The sequence below is a fragment of the Homo sapiens genome, chromosome 16 (genome assembly GCF_000001405.40).
Source record: "Homo sapiens chromosome 16, GRCh38.p14 Primary Assembly".
Lineage (NCBI taxonomy): Eukaryota > Metazoa > Chordata > Mammalia > Primates > Hominidae > Homo > Homo sapiens.
Window position 1 is genome coordinate 23,360,352 of NC_000016.10, and position 19,514 is coordinate 23,379,865.

Genomic DNA, 19,514 nt, shown 5'->3' on the forward strand with positions numbered 1-19,514 from the left:
ATAGTGAGACCCCCCATCTCTACAAAAAACAATTTTAAAATAACAAAATTAGCCCGGCGTGGTGGTACACACCTGTAGACTCAGCTACTCTGGAGGCTGAGGGGGAAGGATCACTTGAGCCTCGGAGTTTGAGGCTGCAGTGAACCAAGATCACACCACTGCATTCCAGCATTCCAGCCTGGGTGACAGAGTGAGAGTAAAATATAGAGAGAGAGACTTTGTTGTTGGTGGTGGTGGTGGTTTTTTTTTTTTTTTTTTTTTTGAGACGGAGTTTTGTTCTTGCCCCCAGGCTGGAATACAATGGCATAATCTCCACTCACTGCAACCTCTGCCTCCCGGGTTCAAGTGATTATCGTGTCTCAGCCCCCCGAGTAGCTGGGATGACAGGCATGCACCACCACACCTGGCTAATTTTTGGTTTTTGGTTTTTGGTTTTTGGTTTTGTTTTGTTTTGTTTTTTTGAGACAGAGTCTCACTCTGTCGCCCAGGCTGGAGTACAGTGGCACTATCTCGGCTCACCACAAGCTCCGCCTCCCGGGTTCATACCATTCTCCTGCCTCAGCCTCCCGAGTAGCTGGGACTACAGGCAGCCGCCACCACAACCGGCTAATTTTTTGTATTTTTAGTAGAGACAGGGTTTCACTGTGTTAGCCAGGATGGTCTTGATCTCCTGACCTCATGATCCACCCGCCTCAGCCTTCCAAAGTGCTGGGATTACAGGCATGAGCCACTGTGCCCAGCGTAAATTTTGTATTTTTAGTAGAGACAGGGTTTCACCATGTTTGCCAGGCTGGTCTCAAACTTCTGACCTCAGGTTATCTGCTGCCATAGCCTCCCAAAGTGCTGGGATTACAGGCATGAGCCACTGCGCCTGGCCTAGAGAGACTTTTTATCGAGGAATAGTTTTAGATTTACAGAAAAACCACAGCCTCCAACTCCTGGACTCAAGTGATCCTCCCTCCTCAGCCTCCAAAAGTACTAGGATTACAGATGTGAGCCACTGTGCTGGCCTTTGCTCTGTACTTTGGAAAGGAGTCACTAAATTCAGACTACGCTCAGGGGAAGGGGAAGGGAGTGGCCAGTGGGAAAGGAGCATTGAGCTCCACCCCTCCTAGAGAGAAGAATATATATTATTTGGAATTCTTCTGTAAAGGAAGATTTGTCTCATCTCCTCCATTTATTTATTTATTCCATCATTTATTGACACAGTATGGACTCCTGTAGATTTAGGTTGTAATCCAATTCCTTGTTATCTATTCTCTTGCTTAAATTCTTCTAGCTTTGGCCACTCTGTCAGTTAGCACCTGTGTGCCTTTGATATGTCCTCACCTGGGTGGGTTTTTTAACTTTTGCCTACTTTCTGGCACTACAGGATGCCCCCGCCCTAGAATCAGCCATTTCTCTAAAGAGCTCTGTTTGGTTTTTTGGTTGTTTTGTTTGTTTGTTTGTTTTTGTTTTTGTTTTTTTTGAGATGGGATCTCACTCTGTTGTCCATACTGGAGTGCAGTGACACAATCGCGTGCCCGATTAATTTTTTTATTTTGTAGAGATGGGGTCTCCCTATGTTGCCCAAGCTGGTCTCAAACTCCTGGCTCAAGCAATCTTCCCACTTCAGCCCCCTAAAGTGCTGGGATTACAGGAGAGAGCCAACAAGACTTGCCCAAGCTCTGGTTTTTTAAATTGAAGAATGGTATTTAGAAACCAAGATCTGGGCCAAGCATGGTGGCTTATGTATGTAATCCCAGCACTTTGGGAGGCCGAGGTGGAAGGATTGCCTAAGCCCAGGAGTTTGACACCGGTCTGGCCAACATGGCAAAACCCCATCTCTACTAAAAATACAAAAATTAGCCGGGTGTGTTGGCATGCACCTGTAATCCCAGCTACTAGGGAGGCTGAGGCAGGAGAGTCACTTGAACCTGGGAGGCAGAGGTTGTATAGAGCCAAGATCATGCCACTGCACTCCAGCCTGAGCAATCTCAAAAAAAAAAAAAATAAAGTTAAATAAAATTTAAAAATAAAGAAACCAAGATCTGGGCATATATAAGCATTATTATTACTATGGTTGTTGTTGTTTCAGGGATTATCCAACTAGTTTCTGCCCTGGAAAGTCTTTCCTGACCTCTGACCACACAACAGTGGTTATACTGCTTCCTGCTAGGATGCTCTATTTCCCAGTCTTTTCTGGAGGCTCACTGGTCTCTGTCTGCATGCCTGGCTCCCAGCCCAGCAGAGATTTCTGTAGGGAAACACCTGGCTCTGGAATCAGAGGCAGCCAGTCCTGGGAGCAGCCTCTCTGGGTGAAGAGTATTATCAACAAGCAAATAGTTGGCACGCACGTGGAGACCAAGAGCATGGCGCGGGCAGGAGGGGACCTGGCCACACCCCATGCAGCCTCCTGCTCCTGGGCTGCATCTGACCAAGACAGTTCCTTGGGAACACTGTGTCCCCATGCCCTGGGGCGAGGTCTCTCCTTCAAGAGCAGGGCCTGGATTGAGCTGGTTTGCTCTGCTCTGTTCTTTTCCTGTGGCCACAGCCCTGATCCCACAGTTTATAGACTCCATGGTGCCCGCCCAGAGCTATTTCTTCCCTCTGGGGCTTTGCCTGTGTTGTGTCCCTGCCTGGTGAGCCCTTTCTCCTCCCTACCCTGTAGACTTAGCCATCGCTTACTTGTTCATAAAGTCTCAGCTCAGGCCTCCCCTCCTCCAGGAAACCTTCCCTGACTCGCTCCCCACTCTCCACTGGGACTTGGGTGTCACTTCTCCATACTTATCTCTGTCGATGCTCTTATCGCCTATTGTAATTTATTCATCAAATATTTACTGAGTGTCTGTGTGCTCTGTACCAGACCCTGGGCATGGAGCTGTGAACAGTAGCAGCCAAGATTTTTTGAGTATTACAGTATGCTAGGCATCCACCCCTTGCCGCAGTCATGTAGGTAGTATTATCTGGTGTTACAAATGGGGAAAGTGAGGCACGAAGACGTGATGTAACCATCCCAAAGCTCACCAGCTGCTAAGGGACACAGCCAGAATTGAAATCAAGCAGGCTGGCTCTGTGGCCTGTGCTCTTGACCTCTGAGCTCTTCTCCTTCCAGACAGACAAGGTCATGCTCCCTCCCCGGGCTTATGTTCTAAGCAGGAGACAGCTAAGTGAGCAATTAAATCAAGAAGATAATTTCAGGCCAGGCACAGTGGTGGATGCCTATAATCCCAGCATTTAGGGAGGCTGAGGCCAGAAGATCACTTGAGGCCAGGAGTTCAAGACCAGCCTGGGCAACATAGCAAGACCCCATCTCCACAAAAAATTTTACAAATTAGCTGGGTGTGGTGGCACATGCCTGTAGTCCCAGCTACTCAGGAGGCTGAGGCAGGAGAATATCTTAAGGCCAGGAGTTTGAGGCTGCAGTAAGCTATGATCACGCCATTGCACTCCAGCCTGGGCAACAGAGTGACACCCTGTCTCTACCAAAAAAAAAAAGGAAGCTGATTTCAGATTCTGATGTATCTGATAAAGAAGATAATCAACTGGTTGAAGGGCCAGGTGCAGTGACTCACCCTGTAATCCTAGCACTTTGGGAGGCCAAGGCAGGTGGATCACCTGAGGTCAGGAGTTCAAGACCAGCCTGACTAACATGGTGAAACCCTGTCTCTACTAATAATACAAAAATTAGCCAGGCGTGGTGGCGCATACCTGTAATCCCAGCTACTCAGGAGGCTGAGGCAGGAGAATCACTTGAACGGGGAGGCAGAGGCTGTAGTGAGCTGAGATCATGCCACTACACTCCAGCCTGGGCAACAAGAGTGAAACTCCATCTCAAAATAAATAAATAAATAAATATAAATAAACTGGTGGAAAAGATCTAGAGTAACTAGGTAGAAAATTCTATTACTATTAGTAATAAAGTACTATTAACTAATAGTTCTAGTCCATCACTTTGCATAGGGGTTCAGGGAGGCCTCAGAGCAGATAAAAGCTGAAGGATGGGGAGAAGCCAGTATCTGAAGAGCTGGTTAGAGAATATTCCAGGCACAAAGGACAACAGAGGCAAAAGCCTTGAGCTTGGAAACATCTAGAGTGTCGCTGGAGTGTAGGGAATGAGACATAGAAGGCCAGCATAGGGACTTTGCACTTTATTCTGTGAGTGACAAGAAGCCTTTGGAGGGTTCTCAGAAAGGGAGTACCGTGCTCTGACTCACAAATTTAAACAATCACCCTGACTGCTGTGCAGAAGGAAGACTTTAAGGATGAACAGAGGCAGAGGCTCCAGCAAGAATCCAGACATGAGATGCTGGTGACTTGGGCCAGGGTGGGAGCGTCTGAGGTGGAGACAGGTGGACAGACTAAAGTCACATCTTGGAGCCTGGCGTGGTGGCTCACACATGTAATCTCAGCACTTTGGGAGGCTGAGGTGGGAGATCACCTGAGGTCAGGAGTTCAAGACCAGCCTGGCCAACATAGTGAAACACCATCTCTACTAAAAATACAAAAATTAGGCCAGGCATGGTGGCTCACGCCTGTAATCCTAGCACTTTGGGAGGCTGAGGTGGGTGGATTGCCTGAGGTCAGGAGTTCGAGACCAGCCTGGCCAACATGGTGAAACCCCATATCTACTGAAAATACAAAAATTAGCTGGTTGTGGTGGCAGGCACCTATAATCCCAGCTACTCGGGAGGCTGAGGCAGGAGAATCGCTTGAACACAGAGGGCAGAGGTTGCAGTGAGCTGAGATGGCACCACTTCACTCCAGCCTGGGGTGAAAGAGCAAAACTCCATCTCAAAAACAAAAAAAAAAATAGTTGGGCGTGATGGTGCCTGCCTGTAATCCCAGCTACTCAGGAGGCTGAGGCAGGAGAATTGCTTGAATCCAGGAGGCAGAGGTTACAGTGAACCAATATCACGCCATTGCACTCCAGCCTGGGCAACAGAGCAAGACTTTGTCAAGAAAGAGAGAAAGAGAGAAAAAGAGAGAAAGAGAGAAAAAGGGAGGAAGGGAGGAAAAGAAAAGAGAGAAAGAGAGAAAGGGAAGAAGGGAGGAAGGAAGGAAAAGGAAAGAAAAGAGAGAAAGAAAGAGAAAGAAAGGAAGGAAGAAAGAAAGAAAGAGAAGGAGAAAGAGAAAGAAAAGAGAGAAAGAAAAAGAAGAAAAGAAAGAAAAAGAAAGAAAGAAAAGAAAAAGAGAGAAAGAGAGAAGGAAAGAGAAAGAAGGAAAGAGAAAGAAAGAAAGAAAGAAAGAAAGAAAGAGAAAGAAAGAAAGAAAGAAAGAAAGAAAGAAAAAAGAAAGAAGTCACATCTTGGAAGGAGAGGGGGGTTGATAGGATTCCACTCTCTGTCCTCTGCCACACTGGAAGCTGCAAAAGGCAGCCCTGTCTTGTTTTGCTCAGTGTCCCTAGCCTAGCACCCACCTCAACAAACATTTATTGGGTGGAAAAATGTGGTTTCTTCCTGCTTCCCCTTGCACCGTTGAGGAAACCCAAGCTCAGAGGTTGAGTAAGCAGCTCAAATCTGTTGACAGTGGCAGAGCTTGGGTCGGCCCCCATATCCCATTTCACAGCCTGTCCTGGACCCAAGTCATTCTGCAAGTCAACTAGCTGAGACAAAAGATACAGGAAATGGCTTTCTTATCTGAAAACACGGGAAAATAACACCTGCCCTTGTGGGGTTATTTTGAGAATTAAATGAGATCACGAATACAGAAAGATTCAGCACAGGCCTGGCCCATAAAAGTCACTCAGTGAATGTTTGCTGTGGAGCATAAGGCTTCAAAGACAATACTGCATGGCAGGTGACGTTTTATGTGTGTGCATTATTTGATGTACTTACTCTCATTCCTTCCTGTTTTTATTTTTAATTTTTTACAAATTATTATTGTTTTTTTGATACAGAGTCTCACTCTGTTGCCCAGGCAGGAGTACAGTGGTGCAATCACAGCTCACTACAGCCTCAACCTCCCCAGGCTCAGGTGATCAATCCACATCAGCCTCCCAAGTAGCTGGGACTACAGACACTCACCACTACTCCTGGCTTTTTATTTTATTTTATTTTTTATTTTTTGTAGAGATAGGGTCTCAATTCGTTGGCCAGGCTGATCTCAAACTCCTGGGCTCAGTTGGGTGCAGTGGCTCACGCCTGTAATCGCAGCACTTTGGGAAGCCAAGGTGTGGGGATCACCCGAGGTCAAGAGTTCAAGAGCAGCCTGGCCAACATGATGAAACCCCATCTGCACTAAAAATACACAAATTAGCCGGGTGTGGTGGCGGGTGCCTGTAATCCCAGCTACTCAGGAGGCTGAGGCAGGAGAATCGCTGAGATTCTCCTCAGCCTGGAGTGAGATCACACCACTGTACTCCAGCCTGAGCAACATAGTGAGACTCTGTCTCAAAAACAAACAAACAAACAAAACTCCTGGGCTCAAGTGATCCTCCCACTTTGGCCTCCCAAAGTGCTGGAATTACAGGCATAAGCCACCGCTCCCAACCTCCTCTTATTTTTAATAAATAAAAAAAGAACAACATAGAAACATCAAGAGATATTTTTTAAAGCTGCTTACTTTGGAGACTTGAGAACATGCACTTCGACTGAACAGAGTTTGATGAACTCCAGCACACCAGTCATCAGAAGAGGCAAGGAGGAATTCTCCCCTGAGCCTTCTGGTGGGCCCAGGAGTTCCTCGGCTTGTGTCTGAAGGCCCCTGCCTCAGTCTTCAATGAGCTTCTCCTCTGTATCTGTCTCTCTTCTGTGTCTTCTAAGGATGCTTGTCATTTGATTTCGGGCCCACCTGGATAATCCAAGATGACCTCATCTCGAGATCCTTAGCACATCTGCAAGGACCCTTTCTCCAAATAAGGTCACACTCATAGGTTCCGGGGCTGAGGACATGGATGTGCCTCTTTTGAGGTGTATACGAGACAGATGAAAACATCTGAGAAAGTTCTTTTTCATTTTTGTTGTTGTTGTTTGTTGTTGTTTTAGAGACAGGGTCTCACTCTGTCACCCAGGCTGGAGTGCAGTGGCACAATCATAGCTCAAGCAGCCTCGAACTCCTGGGCTCAAGCGTTCCTCCCACCTCAGCCTCCCAAGTAACTGGGACTGCAGGCATGCACCACCACACCTGGCTAATTTTTGTATTTTTTGTAGAGATGAGGGTCTCACCATGTTGCCCAACCTGGTCTCAAACTCCTGGCCTCAAGCGGTCCTCCCGCCTCAGCCTTCCAAAGTGCTAGGATTACAGGCGTGAGCCACCACGCCCGGCCAGAAAGTTCTTTTTCATAACTCATGGCCAAACCAGAGAGCCTGAGCCCCAACTCCAGAGAAACTCTCTTCCCCTGCTTTCCCAAGGGAGCCTGGGAATCTCCCCTCTGGTTTGGACCAGAGGATGGACAGAATGACCTGTTGCTCGCCTCTCCCTTTCGGAGCCCCTCCAAGGAGGAAATGAAAGGTGGACGGCAGACAGTCGGGGGAGGCATTGCCTGTGGTGGAACCTGCCCTGCAGCTGATGCTGTTTCTTTTAGGAACTTCACGTCCATCTTCTACCCTCACTATGGCAACTGTTACATCTTCAACTGGGGCATGACAGAGAAGGCACTTCCTTCGGCCAACCCTGGAACTGAATTCGGTGAGTTTTGGTTTATCGTGGGGCCAGAGCCATGAGGCTTTAACCACCCCCACAATGTGGGACTGAAAGACCATCAGCTGTTGCAGGGTGGGACTGAGGGGGGACCAAGGCATCAAGAGGAGTGGCTGCTACCGAGGCTCTACTGTGTGCCAGGGGAGGCCAGGCCAGGCGCTTCCTCAGCCATTCCCGCCCACAATGTTCAGAATCCGTGGGGTAGCAACTGGTGTTCCCATTTTACTGATGAGCAAAGTGAGGACTTGGAAGCAGCACAGCTTCGTGGTCAAGAGCTCAAGCTTCAGCCAGGCGTGGTGGCTCATGCCTGTAATCCCAACACTTTGGGAGGCCGAGGCAGGAGGATTGTTCAAGCCCAAGAGTTCGAGACCAGCCTGGGCAACAAGGTGAAACCCCATCTCTTAAAAAAAAAATACAAAAATTAGCGAGGCATGATGGCACGTACCTGTAGTCCCAGCTACTCAGGAGGCTGAGGCAGGAAGATCGCTTGAGCTGGGAAGGTCAAGGCAGCAGTGAGCCATGATCACACCACTGCAGCTCCACCATTTACTTGGGTGGTGTTCCTGAGCTCCAGAGCAACCTTCTCAAAGCCTTAGTTTCCCCAATCATAGATTAGTATATAGTAGCAGAGCAGAGCATTTAGTATAGTAAATCGTATCTACCGTGTGAGCCATGATGATGAGTAAATAGTATAAGCCTTGTGAGTCATTACGATGTAATGTGGTAAATCGTTTCACCTGCCTAGGAAGTAGGGAATGCTCCATATATGCTGAGTATTCTGAGCAGTTTTTAAACAACTTGTCCAGGATCATGCAGTTAATACATGGACCAAAAGACATTGCATGTTCTTACCTGTAAGTGGGAGCTAAATGATGTGCACACGTGGATATAGAGTGTGGAAGGAGAGACATCAGAGACTTAGAGGGTGGGAGGGTAGGAGGCAGGTGAGGGACAAGAAATTAATGAGTACAGTATATATGATTCCAGTGAAGGTTACACTAAAAGCCTAGACTTCACCACTGTATAATAATTCCATGTAACAAAACTGCGCTTGAACCCCTTACATTTATACAAATTAGAAAAAGAAAAGAAATACATAACAGTCTCTTAGTCTCTCTGCCTCTCTGGTGTACAGTTTGTTTGTTTGTTTTCTTGAGACAGGGTCTCACTCTGTCACCCAAACTGGAGTGCAGTGGCACGGTCATGGCTCACTGCAGCCTCAACCTCCTGGGCTCAGGTGATCCTCCCACCTCAGCCTCCTGAGGAGCTAGGATTGCAGGTGGCTAATTTTTTGTAGAGATAAGGTTTCATCCTGTTGCCCAGGTTGGTCTTGACCTCCTGGGCTCAAGCAATCTGCCCTCCTTGGCCTCTCAAAGTACTGGGATTACAGATGTGATCCACTGCGCCCAGCTGTACAGTTCTTAAAGAAAGACAGAGACACACAGAGAGAAGCTGAAGGAGTCCATGGAAGTGAGGAAGTGGGGCATGGTGGATGACGGATCCCCCTCCCTCGGGGCTCATGTGTTGCACTGACCCCTAGAGAGGGGCTGGTGGACTCAGGCTGGCTGTGGTTTTGCGGCTTGTGAGCCGGGCACAGGTGGGAGTGGATCCCTCCTCCCATCTCTAGGTTCTGACCTCTGCAACCACCAAGAGGCAGGCTCTCATTCAGCGACCATCGGGGCCGCTGGCCAAGAGGGCAGGTGAGCTGAGTGCCTTTCACTTAGCCCCCATGCTGCTGAGAGCACTGCCACAGAGGTGCCAGTCAACTTACTCCCAGAGGCAGATGGTTATAGTCAGGGAGCCAGCTGCTGTATCAGAAGCCCAGCAAAAGCACTTCCTCACTGGAAGACCTCAGACAAGTCCCTTCACTTCTCTGTGCCTCAGTTTCTCCATCTGTAAAATGGGGACAATACTAGTACCTCCATCATGCAGCCCTTGTGAGCATCCGAGGAGCTCATGTTTATTTTATTTTATTTTTGGAGATGGAGTCTCACTCTCGCTCAGGCTGGAGTGCAGTGGCGCAATCTTGGCTCACTGCAACCTCCGCCTCCTGGGTTCAAGCGATTCTCCTGCCTCAGCTTCCCAAGTAGCTGGGACTACAGGCATGCGCCACAATGCCCAACTAATTTTTGTATTTTTTTTTCTCTATTTTGATATGGAGTTTTGCTCTGTCGTCCTGGCTGCAGTGCAGTGGCGCAATCTCGGCTCACTACAACCTCTGTCTCCCAGGTTCAAGCAATTCTCCTGCCTCAGCCTCCCGAGTAGTTGGGATTACAGGTGGCCGCCACCATGCCTGGCTAATTTTTGTATTTTTAGTAGAGACGAGGTTTCACCATGTTAGCCAGGTTGGTCTTGAACTCCTGACCTCAAGTGATCTGCCCGCTTCAGCCTCCCAAAGTGCTGAGATTACAGGTGTGAGCCACTGTGCCCGGCCAAGGAGCTCATGTTTAATGAGGCCCTTAGCACATCACCCCGCAGGTAGCAAGTGCTCAACTAGCCCTTATTGTCCTAACCAGAGGGACTCAACTCCACGTAGCTCAGGACCGTGGTGCGTGGGAGACTGGGTCCAGTCCCTTCCCTTGAGAACAGTCAAGAGGGGAAGGAAGACAGACAATAAAAGAGCAATCACACAAATGAGGCAGGTACTCAGAAGGAAAGTTCCGGGGCTAGGAAAGTGTACAACCAAGACCCTGACACCTCGTCTGAGCCATCAGAGAACGTTTCTGGAGGAAGTGATGCTGGTTGAGATCTGAGGGAAGAGCATGTGTTTCTAGGGGAAGGGAAGGGGCAGAGACAGCATTCCAGAGCTAGGGAATAGCACTCCAGATTGAGGAACAGCATTCCAGGTGAGAGAACAGAATTCCAGAGCAAGGAACAGCACTCCAGGTGAGGGAACAGCACTCCAGAGTGAGGAACAGCATTCCAGAGTGAGGGAACAGCATTTGCAAAGGCATAGCAGGAGGAAGGCGTGCAGAAGCTCGGAGGCATTGAACGGGGACAGCGAGGGCACCTGTGGTGTGAGGTGGGGTGGCATGGGTGGGCCGTGGCCATGCTATGCCTCCTTGATCTACCTCCTGATCAGAAAAGAGATCACGGGAGGCAAGAGACACCTAGGGAGGAGGCTACGTAAGAGCCTGCCTTAGAGATGATGGGGGCTTTGCAGAAGGCAAGCAGTATTTGAGGACTGAGTTTTTGCAAAGTGGAGCCAGCCTCCTTGGCGGTCCCTGGAGGTCCCCTGGCCGGAGGGAGCTTGGAGAAGTGGGTAGTGGGGTCTCCTTTCTGCCTCAGGAGAAAGTTCAGGCAGCCCTCACCCCACCCTCCCCACAGGCCTGAAGTTGATCCTGGACATAGGCCAGGAAGACTACGTCCCCTTCCTTGCGTCCACGGCCGGGGTCAGGCTGATGCTTCACGAGCAGAGGTCATACCCCTTCATCAGAGATGAGGGCATCTACGCCATGTCGGGGACAGAGACGTCCATCGGGGTACTCGTGGTATGGCCGGAGCCCAAGGGCAGTCCTAGAGGGTCTGAGGGTGGGAGCCCACCTGTCCAGGGCCAACTGCCCTTGGCCTGGGAGGAGGGGATCTGGGCCCCCCAGCCCTGGCCTTCCTTCCTTTTGGCTGGAATCCCCCCAGGGTGGCCCAAGCTTTAGGGGAAGGTGAGCCCTCTGGCGCCCCCTCTGGCGCCCCCCCTGGCACCTGCAGGGGTCCACAGCCCTCTGTCCCCAAATGCTTGATAGAAGGGAGGTGCAGAAAGGGCTTCCTGGGGTGACCAGTGTCCCCCTCAAGCAACCCCTCTAAACACAGGACAAGCTTCAGCGCATGGGGGAGCCCTACAGCCCGTGCACCGTGAATGGTTCTGAGGTCCCCGTCCAAAACTTCTACAGTGACTACAACACGACCTACTCCATCCAGGTGGGAAGGTGGTGCACGCCTCATGCCCCGGGGCCCCTGTCCGGGTTTATGGGGCCAAGGCCTCAGTACTCCGGGAGAGCTGGCCCCAGCAAGTCTGGCTCTGCTGGGCCTTTGTAGGTTGCCACGGGGCACCCCGGGCCTGTGGGACCAGTCACTTTCCTGGGCTCTCTCACCAGGGCCTAGGGTTGGCCACTTCTCATCCCCACATTGGCAGGTGTACCCCTGGGGAAGCCCAGGGGATTATGGGGATCTTACTCTGGGGTTTCCCAAGATGAAAACAAAAAATAGCAGCTAACACCATCAAGCTTCCATTGTGTGTGAAATGCTGTGCGAAGGGCTGGAACACATTCCATCGTCATTTAATCTTTCAACTGCCTCCTGCCATGAATCTACAATATAGTAATGACAGCAGCATTTATTGATAAACTAATAATAGCAGGGTTACCATGTGTTAGGCAGTCACTGTTGTAAGTAATTTACATGTATATTACATCATTTAACTTTCACAACAACCCTAAGATGTAGATACTATTATCATTCCCATTCTGGGAATGAGGAAATTGGGATTGACAGACCCCAGTTCAAATGCATCATCAATTTACCTGAGAAGTCCCTTTTTTTTTTTTTTTGAGATGGAGTCTCACTCTGTCACCCAGGCTGGAGTGCGGTGGCGTGATATTGGCTCACTGCAACCTCCGCCTCCCAGGTTCAAGCAATTCTCTGCCTCAGCCTCCCGTGTAGCTGGGACTACAGGTGCCCACCGCTACACCGGCTAATTTTTTTGTATTTTTAGTAGAGACGGGGTTTCACCAAGTTGGCCAGGCTGGTCTTGAACTCCTGACCTCGTGATCCACCGCCTCGGCCTCCCAAAGTGCTGGGATAACAGGCATGAGCCACCGCACCCGGACTTTATTATTATTTTTTTAAAAGAGATTGCTGGGCATGGTGGCTCACGCCTGTAATCCCAGCACTTTGGGAGTGCGAAGCGGGTACATCACTTGAGGTCAGAAGTTCAAGACCAGCCTGGCCAACATGGTGAAACCCCGTCTCTACTAAAAATACAAAAAAAAAAAATTAGCCAGGCGTCGTGGCACACGCCTGTAGTCCCAGCTGTGCAGGGGGCTGAGGCAAGAGAATTGCTTGAACCCGGGAGGCGGAGGTTGCAGTGAGCTGATATCACGCCACTGCACTCCAGCCTGAGTGACAGAGTGAGACTCTTGTCTCAAAAAAGTAAAATAATAAAATAAAAAAGAGAGACAGGGTCTTGCTCTGTTACCCAGGCTGAAGTGCTGTGGTGCCATCATAGTTCACTGCAGCCTCGAACTCTTGGATTCAAGCAATCCGCCTGCCTCAGCCTCCCTAGTAGCCAGGACCACAGGCATGAGCCACTGTCCCTGGCTAATTTCTTAATTTTTAAAATTTTTTGCAGAGACAGAGTCTTGCTATGTTGCCCAGGTTGGTCTTGAACTCCTGGGCTCAAGCAATCCTCCCACTCTGGCCTCCCAAAGTGCTGGGATTATAGGCATGAGCCACTGCGCCCACTGGAAGTCCCTCTTTGCATCTGCCTTCAATCCCCCTTGCTGTAGCTGGAGGCTTCCTTCTCATCCTGATCTCCAGAGTTAACCCAGACCTGCCACTAGTCCTGGCCCCCTTGGAGAGGGCAGACTGAATCCTTGCAAAGGTGACAAAAATGACCACTCGCTGATACTTCCTCTCCAGCCCAGTCTGCCTTGCCATATCAGTGCACTGAGTCATAACAAGAGGGCAGCCCAGTGCCTGCCTCAGTGTCTGGGTGCCCGAGCATGGCATGGTTTGCCCTTTCCCCGTAGGAAATGACCCTCCTGGTGCCCACCTGCCCACCCATTGCCTGGCTGGTTTGGCCACCTCGCGTCTGGAGGGACTTCTGCCCATTATGGAGAACTCTAGCCGTCATCTGAGCCTCTGGAGGGACAGACAGACAGACAGGACAGTACAGGGAGGTGGGAAACACGGAGAAGAAGGTACCAGCCCCAGAAACCTCATTCCAGGAAAACTGCATCTCTCGTTTCTTCCGGTGTGGTAGCCACCCAGGCCAGAAAACAGCCAAGAGCCAGGCCCTGATCGGGAGCTCTGCCCATCCCCATGGACACCCCAACCAGGAGCAGGCTTGAGCCCACCCCAGCCTCCATCACAGGGCCTGGAAGGACTCCCACTTTCCAGATGAGACAGAGAGGTCTACAAGAATATAAGACGCCTTGGTGGGGCGTGGTGGTGCATGCCTATAGTCCCAGCTATTCAGAGGCTGAGGCGGGAGGATCACTTGAGCCCAAGAGTTTGAGGATGCAGAGAGTTATGAGCGTGCCACTGCACCCCAGCCTGGGCAACAGAGTGAGACCCTGTCTCAGGAAAAAAAAAAAAAAAAAAAAAGAGGCCGGGCGCGATGGCTCACACCTGTAATCCCAGCACTTTGGGAGGTCAAGGTGGGTGGATCACTTGAGGTCAGGAGTTCGAGACCAGCCTGGCCAACATAGTGAAACCTGGTCTCTACTAAAAATACAAAAATCAGCCGGGGGTGGTGGTGCATGCCTGTAATCCCAGCTACTCAGGAGGCTAAGGCAGGAGAATCACTTGAACCCAGGAGGTTGAGGTTGCAGTGAGCCGAGATCATGCCACTGCACTACAGCCTGAGCAACAGAGCAAGACTCCATCTCAAAAAAAAAAAAAAAAAAAAAAAAAGAATGTAAAACACTTGCCCGAAACCGAGCTCTGGCTCCTCCTGGCCATGCCGTTTAATCTGCCTTCCAGCCCTGATTTCCTGCCCTCAGAGAGCCACAGACTCGTTAGGGGTAATAGAAAGGCAGGACATAGGGACCTGAGACGGAGCCCGGGCTGCAGGAGGAACAGAAGAGGACTCAGGAGCGCAGGTGTGGAGGGGCGGGGCCGAGTGGAGAGAGGTAGGGAGGAGCTGGCCAGGGCTGTGTCCAGGAGCCCGGGGTAGTCAGGACCTAGGAAACTGGATAGGCAATGAAACACCAAGAACCACTGCCTCCATCCGTGCAGCGCTTCCTGAGCACCTGATGTGGCCCTGAATCCTCCCTCCCAACCTCAGGAGACAGGTGTCCTCAGCACCCTGTTTCACCTATGAGTAAACCAAGCCCCAGAGGGTCATGACTCGCCCTAGGACACATAGCTGGTCTCTGAGTGGACTGAAACCAGGTCAGAATGACCTGAAAGCCCAGTATGTTGGGGCCGAGTGAGTGGAGACTCATCACGTCCAGCCTCCTGGAGGCTGCCTGGGAGCCCTCCTCTTCCTCGCCCCACCAGGAGACATTCTGCAGACCAGTGGGCCACTCACTTCCTCTGTCATCAGCTGTGCATTAAGACGCCCAGAGATCATCCTTCTCCTGGCTTTCCCTGGGCAATTCCCTCTGGGAGGAAGGAGCACAGAGCCAGCCTGCCTAGCTTCCTCGGTGGCCTGTCAGGGTGCATCTGTGTCAGGTGCTTGGACGGAGGCTGGCATCCTCATAATGAGAGCTCTCTGAGCATTGGCTTTATTATTAGGGGCAAGCCGCTCTTCCCCATGTTGAAGGGTGAGGACCCCAGCTCTGAATGGTGGGACCTGGGATACTGCGGTCTGGCCTGGGTCCCTCTGTGGGGTCCAGAGACCTGCTGGGAAGCCCAAAAGCGTCCAGGACTGTGGGGTCTGTAGCTGCAGCCAGTCATCTCACCACAGCTTCTCAGCCCTGGAGCACCTCCACCAGCTCACCTACCTCCCTTAACTTGGGCATCACTTCTCTGGACACCCCTGGTGCTGGAATGGGGACATCACTGACCATGCCTGTGTTCTCTCCTTATGAACCCCCTACCCTCCCCAGGCCTGTCTTCGCTCCTGCTTCCAAGACCACATGATCCGTAACTGCAACTGTGGCCACTACCTGTACCCACTGCCCCGTGGGGAGAAATACTGCAACAACCGGGACTTCCCAGACTGGGGTGAGCGGGGGCACGGGGGATCGGCACTCCAGCCATCTGGGGCCACAGAGGCTCTGACCATAGAGGAGGAGGCAGAGCTCAGTGCCCTCAGCAGAGTCCAGAGATGTGCCCAGGGTGGCTCCTCCACAGTCTGAGGTCCCTCCTATGATCCCCTCCCAGGCCTCCTTTCTGCAGGAGCCCAGCCTTCTCTCTGCTCCTCAATTTCATGAAGCATGGGCTTGAAACACATAGGCATAGAATGCACGTGTCCTTGTGGGCCTGTGTCTGTGTGCCACACAAATGCTCACACATGTGCAACCCTGGGCATGTGGCTGCTGGCGAGTGTGTGCCTGCACTCATGTTTCCAAGTGCACAAGTGCAAAGGCATTTCCATGCTTGCGTCCAAATGCACAGGAGCTGTTCGTGACTGCAGTGGGTTGCTGTATGTAGTTTATGCACAGGCACAAATCACTTCCAGGGTCTGCATTTGTGCACTCTGGCTTTTGTGCACGTGTGTGTGTGTGTGTGTGTGTGTGTGTGCACGTGCATGTATGTATAAGGCCACGTGTCCATCTTCAGCATGTGTGTTCATGTCTATGTGGGCTCATTGGGTCTCTCTGCAAGGCGCTGGGTGGAAGGGGAGTGTGAGGAAGCCATTAGCATGATGGTAGCCTCCAAGGACTCGAAACCTGGAGTCACAGCAGGAAGAAGAGCCCTGCTGGGCTCACAACCAATTGGAGCTGGGGCCTGGGAGCCCTGGCGGTCTGGAGTCCAACCACCGAAGAATTTTGTCAGCAGGGTGCAGTGGCTCGTGCCTGTAATCCCAACACTTTGGGAGGCCGCGGTGAGCAGATCACTTGATGCCAGGAGTTCGAGACCAGCCTGGCCAACATGGCAAAACCCCGTCTATAAAAAAAAAAAAAAAAGAAAGAAAGAAAAAAAAAAGTAAAAGAGAGAGAGAATAAAAAGAATGCTGTCAGCCGGAGACTCACCACTTACAACCAACACAAACTAAATGGGAAAACGTTATTCCTTCCAGTCACCCACCCTTTGTTCATGACCCCATAACCCTGTCCACCAGGCAGGGATGGGGATGGCCGGCAAAGGGAAAGCTGCTGGGACCCCCCTGAGCTGGGCCCCAGGCCAGGCTGGGGTGAAATGGCTGGAGGTCGGGGGCTGGGTGGGGAGCGGTGATTTTTCATGACACCTCCTCCTGCCACCTAACCACAGGGCCAGGAGAGCAGAGGGGCCAGCCAGAGGCTCAGCAGGGAACAGGGGCACCTAAAAAGCCCCCTTAAACCTCTTGGCCGCCTTTCTGTCTCCTGCGCAGCCCATTGCTACTCAGATCTACAGATGAGCGTGGCGCAGAGAGAGACCTGCATTGGCATGTGCAAGGAGTCCTGCAAGTGAGTGCGGGTGGGCGGGCACAGCAGCGGGCAGGCATGGAGGGGCATCACTGGCAGGGACCACAACAGGCCTGGCCTTCTCTTTCAGTGACACCCAGTACAAGATGACCATCTCCATGGCTGACTGGCCTTCTGAGGCCTCCGAGGTGAGACAGTTGGGGGCCAAGCTCCTGGCTCCCACCTTTGGCTGGGGACAAGTCTGGGCATAAGATGTGGGCTATTTGGAAATTTGAAGGGGGTGCCTTTTTCCCTCCCTCCTTCCTTCCTTCTCTGTTTCCCTCCTTCCTTCCTTCTTTCTCTGCTTTATTCCTTCCTTCCTTCCTCCTCTCTTTTCCCTTCCTCCCTCCCTTCTCCCTTCCTTCCTTCCTTCTTTCTTCCTTCCTTCATTCCTTCTCCCTTCCTTCCTCCCTCCCTTCTTCTTTCCTTCCTTCCTTTCTCCCTCCCTTCTCATTTCCTTCCTTCTTTCCTTTCCTCCTTCCTTCTCCCTCCCTCCCCACTTCTGTTTCCTTCTTTCTTTCCTTCCTTCCTCCTTTCTTCCTCCCTCCCTTCCTTCTTTCCTTCCTTCCTTCTTTCCTTCCACCAATATTCTCCCAGGCACTGTGCTGTGTACACAGCACAGAATTAGACAGACATAATCCTTTTAATAGGAGAGGGCCAAGATCACAAGCAGAAATAAAATCGTTTCAAAGTGTGATTATGGCTGTGAAATAAATAAACAGGTTATGGGAGAGAGTAACTGCGGGAAACTACTTTATTTTTGTATTTTTACTTTATTTTTTATTTTTGGAGACAGGGGCTTCCTCTGTCGCCCAGGCTGGAGTGCAGTGGTACGATCACAGCTCACTGAAGCCTCGAACTCCTGGGCTTAAGTGATGCTCCTGCCTCAGCTGTGATCCTCAGCTGGGACCACAGGCACATGCCACCAGGCCTGGCTAATTGTTAAACTTTTTGTAGAGATGGAGTCTCGCTATGTTGCCCAGGCTGGTCTTGAACTCCTGGCCTTAAGCGATCCTCCCACCTCAGCCTCCCAAAATGCTGGGATTACAGGCATGAGCCACCATGCCCAGCTTCTGGGAAAGCATGTTAGACCGAGTGGTCAGGGAAGGCCTCTCTGAAAAGGTGACATTGGAGCTGACACCTGGAGGCAGAGGCTGAGCCATCATGGGCAGAGCTGGGGAGGATTCCGGGCAGAGGGAGCAGGAAGTGTGAGGACCAGAGGTGGGAGAGAGCCGGGCAGGGTGGCCAGGCCCGCCGAGGAAGAGTCTGGAGGCCCGAGTCCTTCCTCCCCTAGAACAGCAGCCACAGCTTCCACTACGACCTTCCTCCTGCTCCTCATCCAAATTGTGATTCCCCCGGGGGCCTCAGGAAGGGACAGGGCTGTGGTCTACCTCCCCCAGGGAACAGAGCCATGACTGGGAGGGATGCTGCAGATGGCAACTTTTGCAACCACCTTCTTGGGTTCCAGGACTGGATTTTCCACGTCTTGTCTCAGGAGCGGGACCAAAGCACCAATATCACCCTGAGCAGGTGAGCCTGAGCCTGGGCGGGGCTGGGGAAGACAGGGAAGGGGTCCAGAAACTCGGGGCAGGAGTTTGGACACAGGACAGCTCCTCAGACACATTCTCACATGGGTCAGACCGAGGAGCAAGTCTTGAGGAGGAGGCACTAGGAGTGAGAGAGAGGAAAGGCAGCCAAGGGGACTCTGAGTCTACCACCTGCTAAGGAGAAGCCTGTGCTTCCCTCTGTCACTGTGCATCCAACCAGCCATCCATTCATCCTCCATCATCCACCCACGCGCCCAGCCATCCTCCACTCATTCATCCTCCATTCTCCCACCCAGCCATCCTCCACCCATTCATCCCTCCATCATCCACCCACACACCCAGCCATCCTCCACTCATTCATCCTCCATTCTCCCACCCACGCAGCCAGCCATCCTCCACCCATTCATCCCTCCATCATCCACCTCTCCATTCTCCCACCCACGCACCCAGCCATCCTCCGTTTATTCATGGATCTCTCCATCCATTCAACACAAACACTAGTTGAGCACAAGAAAGACACACAGTCCAAGCTAGCAGGAGTCTAGGGGGCAAACATATGTAAAAAGGGCTCAAGGAGAGGAGGGTCTGTACAAGCCCCCTACTCTAGGAGTACAGCAGGGAAGGAGCCTCAGTCTGCCTGAGAGATAAGGGAGGTCTGCGTAGGGAGGTGGCTTTGAGTGAACTCTCCAAGGAGGAGTAAGTGCTGTTCAGATAAGAAGAGGTACCAATGTCCAGGCAGAAGACAAAGCTGGAAAGCCTGGAGGCACGAGACAGCACAGCCTGAGGACGATCAGGTGGGAGGGGATGCCCACACAGCCACCCTTCTCTGTCCCAGGTGCAGTGAAGGCGCTCAAGGCTCAGTGAAGAGCTCTGTGCGGAGTCACTCCGTATAGCCCAGGCCACCCTGATGGCACAAAGTGGGGAGCTCAGAGCAGATCTTTGGGGCTGTCCCAGGCCAGAGTGTCCTGTAGGGAACTGGTAGTCAGGGGATGGAGAAAGGGGGCCATAGGATGGGTGCTGGGCAGAGATGCCCAGAAGGGCCGGGAAGGGCTGCACTTGCAGTTCTCGTTTGGACCTCCCC

The 19,514-nt window shown here is 51.5% G+C and overlaps 1 protein-coding gene across 5 annotated transcripts in view, besides 2 other annotated features; it reads left to right on the top strand.

The window, feature by feature from the left end:
• The window catches only part of SCNN1B (sodium channel epithelial 1 subunit beta), a 103,064-nt gene that overhangs the window by 82,121 nt on the left and 1,429 nt on the right, over positions 1-19,514 (top strand). For 4 of the 5 annotated variants that reach the window (XM_017023525.2, XM_011545913.3, NM_000336.3 and 1 more), the window contains 7 exons: positions 7,505-7,608; positions 10,948-11,111; positions 11,425-11,532; positions 15,387-15,504; positions 16,814-16,889; positions 16,978-17,035; positions 18,355-18,416. In XM_017023525.2, the coding sequence (XP_016879014.1) occupies positions 7,505-7,608; positions 10,948-11,111; positions 11,425-11,532; positions 15,387-15,504; positions 16,814-16,889; positions 16,978-17,035; positions 18,355-18,416 (690 nt within the window). The remainder of the gene's footprint in view (positions 1-7,504; positions 7,609-10,947; positions 11,112-11,424; positions 11,533-15,386; positions 15,505-16,813; positions 16,890-16,977; positions 17,036-18,354; positions 18,417-19,514) is intronic. The other variant, NM_001410900.1, reaches the window with a different exon arrangement.
• Positions 5,317-5,611: a silencer, noted in NCBI's record as "tiled region #1348; K562 Repressive non-DNase unmatched - State 22:ReprW". NCBI's record gives its function as "represses a minimal TATA promoter and a strong SV40 promoter by Sharpr-MPRA in K562 cells {active_cell/tissue: K562}" and the evidence as "EXISTENCE:reporter gene assay evidence [ECO:0000049][PMID:27701403]".
• Positions 5,475-5,534: an enhancer, noted in NCBI's record as "active region_10579". NCBI's record gives its function as "activates an Ori minimal core promoter by ATAC-STARR-seq in GM12878 lymphoblastoid cells {active_cell/tissue: GM12878}" and the evidence as "EXISTENCE:reporter gene assay evidence [ECO:0000049][PMID:35858748]".